At 48.3% G+C, this 6,755-nt stretch overlaps 1 pseudogene; it reads right to left on the bottom strand.

The window, feature by feature from the left end:
* Positions 5,038-6,031, bottom strand: REXO1L12P (REXO1 like 12, pseudogene; annotated as a pseudogene).

The raw sequence follows: 6,755 nt of genomic DNA, 5'->3' as shown, positions 1-6,755 counted from the left end.
AAATTTGTCTGACAGAGTGGAAATCCAGTTTTTCACTAAGTCACTGTTCTGGAACAGTTTGTGTGTGTGTATGTATGTGTGTGAGGGCTCACATACACAAATTGAACTAATGGAAGTGTAAGCATTCAAATTATCAGTTTAATTTAGTTCTATACATATACACACACACACACTCACACACCGAAAACATTGATAAAATCAGCCATTCCAGCAAAACTAGCTACTTAGTGTCTATCTCTCCTTGAAGATTCAAACTAGAAATGAGGATTTAGAGAGGCATGATGGTTCGTTCTCTCTTGGAGCCCAGTTCGAAGTTGACTGACTGATTCAGTCATTGTAATTGGTTGGTCTTGGGGAAGAATCCACTTTGACTCTTGGGAAGTCAGCTAGGTCAGCGGACAGAGCAGGGGCTCTGGAGCCAGACTGCCTGCACCCGACTTCTAGCTATGATACCTTGGATAAACTACTTATCACCTGGGCTTCAGGTTCCTCATCTGTAAAATGGGGATAAGAATGCTATCTCTCTCACAACTATTAGGAGGACTGACTGGGTTAATACGTGCAAAGTACCAAGTACATAAGAAACCAACAGCCAGTGCTCATTACAATCATTATTATTTTGGGCAAGTTAAGCCGCATGGTTTCTTTAGGTATAAAATTAGGCTTTATTTACCTACCTGTTGGGTTGTTCCAAGGATTAATCACATAGTGTTCATGAATTCCCTTTATAAACTATTATAAAAAAGAAATATAGTTAACATTAATTGAACACCTACTATGTGCGATCGTTTTAAGGCTTGCCATGTGCTGCTTCATTCAGTCCGCACCATGACATTAGGATCACACTTTCGTTTTCCATTTTTTTTTAAATTATACTTTAATTACTAGGGTACATGTGCACAACGTGCAGGTTTATTACGTATGTAAGCACGTGCCATGTTGGTGTGCTGCACCCATTCACTAGTCATTTACGTTAGGTATGTCTCTTAATGTTATCCCTCCCCCTCCCCCCGCCCATGACAGGCCCCGGTGTGTGATGTTCCCCTTTCTGCGTCCAAGTGTTCTCCTAGTTCAATTCCCACCTATGAGTGGGATCACGCGGTGTTTGGTTTTTTTGTCCTTGCGATAGTTTGCTAAGAATGATGGTTTCCAGCTTCATCCGTGTCCCTCCGAAGGGCATGAACACATGCTTTTTTATGGCTGCATAGTATTCCATGGTGTATTTGTGCCACGTTTCCTTAATCCAGTCTATCATTGATGGACATCTGGGCTGGTTCCAAGTCTTTGCTACTGTGAACGGTGCTGCAATAAACATACATCTGCGTGTGTCCTTTTAGCAGCATGATTTATAGTCCTATGGGTGTATACCCAGTAATGGGACGGCTGGGTCAAATGGTATTTCTAATTCTAGATCCTTGAGGATTCGCCACACTATCTTCCACAACCGCTGAACTGGTTTACAGTCCCACCAGCAGTGTAAAAGTGTCCCTATTTCTCCACTACCTCTCCAGCACCTGTTGTTTCTTGACTTTTTTATTGATCGCTATTGTAACTGGTGTGAGACGATATCTCTTTGCGGATTTGATTTGCATTTCTCTGATGACCAGTGTTGATGAGCATTTTTTCATGTGTCTGTTGGCTGCATAAATGTCTTCTTTTTAGAAGTGTCTCTTCATATCCTTCCCGCACTTGTTGATGGGGTTGTTTGGATTTTCTTGTAACTCTGTTTGAGTTCTTAGTAGATTCTGGATATTAGCCCTTTGTCAGATGAGTAGATTGCAAAAATTTTCTCCCTTTCTGTAGCATGCCTGTTCACTCTGATGGGAGTTTCTTTAGCTGTGCAGAAACTCTTTAGTGTAATTAGATGCCGTTTGTCAATATTGGCTTTTGTTGCCTTTGCTTTTGGCGTTTTAGACATGAGGTCCTTGCCCATGCCTATGTCCTGAATGGTATTGCCTAGGTTTTCTCCTAGGGTTTGTATGGCTTAAGATGTAACATTTAAGTCTTTCATCCGTCTTGAATAAACTTTTGCATAAGGTGTAAGGAAGGGATCCAATTTCACCTTCGGACATATGGCTAGCCAGTTTTCCCAGCACCATTTATTAAATAGGGAATCCTTTCCCCATTTCTTGTTTTTGTCAGGTTTGTCAAAGATCCGACGGTTGTAGATGTGTCGTATTATTTCTGAGGGCTCTATTCTGTTCCATTGGTCTACAGTAACCAAAAAGGCAACCAACAGCATGCTGTTTGGTTACTGTAGGCTTGTAGTGTAGTTTGAAGTCGGGTAGCTTGATGCCTCCACCTTTGTTCTTTTGGCTTAGGATTATCTTGGCAGTGGGGGCCCTTTTGTGGTTCCATGTAAACTTTCAAGTAGTTTTTTCCAATTCTGTGAAGAAAGTCCTTGGTAGCTTGATGGGGATGGCATTGGATCTATAATATACCTTGGGCAGTATGGCCATTTTCACGATACTGATTCTTCCTAACCGTGAGCATGGAATATTCTTCCATTGGTTTGTGTCCTCTTTTATTTCGTGGAGCAGTGGTTTGTAGTTCTCCTTGAAGAGGTCCTTCGCACATCGCATCCCTTGTTAGTTGGATTCCTCAGTATTTTATTCTCTTTGAAGCAATTGTGAATGGGAGCTCAGTCATGATTTGGCTCTCTGTTTGCCTGTTATTGGTGTATGAGAATGCTTGTGATTTTTGCACATCGATTTTGTATCCTGAGACTTTGCTGAAGTTGCTTATCAGCTTAAGGAGATTTTGGGCTGAGACGATGGGGTTTTCTAAATATTCAATCGTGTCATCTACAAACAGGGACAATTTGACTTCCTCTTTTCCTAATTGATTACTCTTTGTTTCTTTCTCCTGCCTGATTGCCCTGGCCAGAAGTTCCAACACTATGTTGAATAGGAGTGGTGAGAGAGGGCACCCCTGTCTTGTGGCAGTTTGCAAAGGGAATGCTTCCACTTTTTGCCCATTCAGTATGATATTGGCTGTGGGTTTGCCCTAAATAGCCCTTATTATTTTGAGGTATGTCCCATCAGTACCTAATTTATTGAGAGTTTTTGGCATGAAAGGCTGTTGAATTTTGTCAAAGGCCTTTTCTGCATCTGTTGAGATAATCACGCGGTTTCTGTCTTTGGTTCCGATTATATGCTGGATTATGTTTATTGATTTGCATATGTTGGACCAGCCTTGCATGTCAGGGATGAAGCCCACTTGATCATAATGGATAAGCTCTTTGATGTGCTGCTGGATTCGGTTTGCCAGCATTTTATGGAGGATTTTTCCATCGGTGTTCCTCAGGGATATGGGCCGAAAATTCTCTTTGTTGGTTGTGTCTCTCTCAGCCTTTGGGATCAGGATGATGCTGGCCTCATAAAATGAGATAGGGAGGATTCCCTCTTTTTCTGTTGATTGGAATAGTTTCCGAAGGAATGGTACCAGCTCCTCCTTGTACTTCTGGTAGAATTCGGCTGTGAATCCGTCTGGTCCTGGAGTTTTATTGCTTGATAGGCTATTAATTATTGCCTCAATTTCAGAGCCTGTTATTGGTCTATTCAGGCATTCAACTTCTTCCTGGTTTACTCTGGGGAGGTTGCATGTGTCCAGGAATTTATTCATTTCTTCTAGATTTCCGAGTTTGTTTGCCTAGAGGTGTTGACAGTATTCTCTCATGGTAGTTTGTACTTCTGGGGGATCAGTGGTGATATCCCCTTTATCATTTTTTATTGCATCTGCTTGATTCTTCTTTCTTTCATTCTTTAATAGTCTTGCTAGTGGTCTATCAATTTTGTGGATGGTTTCAAAAAACCCGCTCCTGGATTCATTGATTTTTTGAAGGGTTTTTTGGGTCTCTATCTCCTTCAGTTCTGCTCGGATCTTAGTTAATTCTTGCCTTCTGCTAGCTTTTGAATGTGTTTGCTCTTGCTTCTCTCATCCTTTTAATGGTGATGTTAGGGTATGCATTTTTGATCTTTCCTGCTTTCCCTTGTGGGCATTTAGTGCTATAAATTTCCCTCTACACACTGCTTTAAATGTGTCCCAGAGATTCTGGTATGTTGTGTCTTTGTTCTCATTGCTTTCAGAGAATATCTTTATTTCTGCCTTCATTTCGTTATGTACCCAGTACTCATTCAGGAGCAGCTTGTCCGGTTTCCATGCAGTTGAGCGGTTTTGAGTGACTTTCTCAATCCTGAGGTCTAGTGTGATTGCAATGTGGTCTGAGAGACCGTTTGTAATAATTTCTGTAATTTTACTTTTACTGAGGAGTGCTTTACTTCCAACTATGTGGTCAATGTGGAAATAAGTGTGATGTGGTGCTGAGAAGAATGTATATTCTGTTGATTTGGGGTGGAGCGTTCTGTAGATGTCTCCTAGGTCCGCTTGGTGCAGAGCTGAGCTCAATTCCCGGATATCCTTTTTTAACTTTCTGTCTCGTTGGTGTGTCTAATGTTGACAGTGGGGTGTTAAGTTTGCCATTATTATTATTATTACTATGTGGGAGTCTAAGTCTCTTTTGATCACACTTTAAAGACCAAAAGGTAGAAGCGCAAAGACGTTATCTGTCCAATATTACAAACCTAGTAAGTGGTGGAATTTGGCCTTGAACCCAGATCTGTAACTCCAGAGCCGAAGTGCTTCACCCACCTCCCTGTGGTGCCTCTACAGAAAAAGAGGTAAGCAGGCATTCCGAAAGCTGGTGGGCCGGGGGGCTGGCCTTGTACTCAGAAGCCATGGAAGTCCCACGTGGGGTGGCTAGTGGTGTAAGGACAGAGGTCTCGGATGGGCAGAGGGATGTGGACAGGCGCGAGGGCGCGCGGCAGGGACTCGGGGGACTGGGAGTGGCGGCTCGGGGCTGCGGGAGGCGATTGGTGGAAGGACAGAGGTCTGGGAGGGGCAGAGGGATGTGGACAGGCCCGAGGGGCCGCGGCAGGGATTCCGGGGGACCGGGAGTGGGGGGTTGGGGTTACTCTTGGCTTTTTGCCCTCTCCTGCTGCCGGCTGCTCCAGTTTTTTTTGCTTTGCGGGGGAGGGTGGTGGGCAGGGTGAGCTCTCGGGACTGATGGCGGTTTTGGAAGAGGCCTGGGGCTAAGGACAGGCCAGGGCGGCGGGAGAGGCGGACCGGTGGCGTGGCTGGATCTGGGCGCGCTGTCGGACCTTCCACATCACCAGCTGCAGGCAGGCGTTTGCGTCCTCGCTGGAGTTGTGGCCGTCCTGGCTGTCCTGGATGATCTGTGCCAGGTAGTCGGCCGCGAGATTCCTGAGGGAGCGCTTGTAGGGGAAACCCAGGTAGTGCGGGAAGAGCACGGCCGTGTCCACCACGGTGCTGTGGATGAGCTTCAGGGCCAGCAGGTCGCTCTCCAGGCTGTGCCCGATGAGGATGGTTTGGGCGCTGAAAAAGCTCAGCAGGATGGCTTGGACTTGGGGCAACGTGATGCTCGTCTTGGCGACGTCGGCCTCGGTGACTCCGGAAAACCTGGTGTTGTAGTCCACGATCTCGTTGTCGGGCTTGACGAAGGTGTCGTACACCACTCGCATGTCGGCGTCCACCACGGTGACGCGGGTCAGCTCTAGGCCATGCGTGGTGTAGCACATCTCACAGTCCAAGGCGTAGATTCCTGGATAAGCGTCTCTGGACAACTCTTTCTTGAAGGTCTCCACGAAGCCATCGAGGCTCTCCTTGCGGCCGTCCCGCACGTGCTGCTTTGCCACCTGGCAGCCCACAGAGCCAGGAGCAGCTGCACAGCAGGTGTACTGGCTAACCCGGCCTCCAGCCACCTGGCTCGAGCGGACCCGCCCCCAGTGATAATAACACAACTGGTCGCGTACACAGCGGCCCGAGGAGGACACCAGGTACTCGGTGCCACAACGGCAGCAGACCCTGCAGGAGGAGTCGCCGGGCCCCTTCCCCTGGCCAGTGAAGAGGACGGCGCCTCCGGGCCGCTCGGGGTGCGGGAAGGGGTAGCCGTTCTCCTTGAGCTGGTCCTGGGTGAGCAGGAACTCCTGGAGGCGGCTGTACAGGGCGGCCCTGCTGAGGCCGGGCATGGAGCTGGGGGTCAGGCCCTTCAGTCTCTTGAGGGTGTTCAGGACCACGTTCAGGTACCTGTTCTTGTTGGGGCTGCAGTCGTAGGCCACCTTCTCCTCGTTCAGCGCCTTCTCCTCGGCCTCCTGCTTGGAGGCGCAGAACTTGAGACACTCTTCGGTGAACAGTTGGAGATAGCCTCGGCGGAGGACGGTGGGGACTTGGCACCCAGAGCTTCGGAGGATAATGGGTTTCTTCAAACTCAAACTCGGTAAGGATGCACGACGGACGATTCGCTTAGAGCTGGTGGTGGCGGTGGTCTTGCATGCCATCCCTGACCTGTTGCGCGTCTTCCCTGGCTGTCTGCCGACCTTGGAGCCACGGGAGCGTTGGCTGCTGCTGGCCACCCGGGTTCTCTTGGCATCTGTGTAACCTGTGACCAAGCAAGGGCTGGAAGAGTGGGCGATCGTCTTCCTCTTCCTGGGGGCTGAGATGCGGACTCCCGAGGGCCTCTCTGTCAGCCTTGGGGCGGCTGGCAAGCGGCAGGCCGATCCCCTCTGCGCAGGGAAGTAGCACGACTCCGTCACCATCTTGGGCCACGCTGGGGGCACCGCCGGACCCCTGTTCTGGGGCTCCGCCTGGATGTCCACAAATGCTGAGGCCTGCTTGTGCATCTGGGGCACCCAGAGCCCGAAGCTCTGGGCAGGCTGATGAGAGGGCAGTGGGAATTC

Source organism: Homo sapiens, chromosome 8 (genome assembly GCF_000001405.40).
Source record: "Homo sapiens chromosome 8, GRCh38.p14 Primary Assembly".
In the NCBI taxonomy this organism is placed as follows: domain Eukaryota; kingdom Metazoa; phylum Chordata; class Mammalia; order Primates; family Hominidae; genus Homo; species Homo sapiens.
The sequence above is the reverse complement of the archived record's forward strand: the minus strand, read 5'-3'. Positions and strand labels throughout refer to the sequence as shown.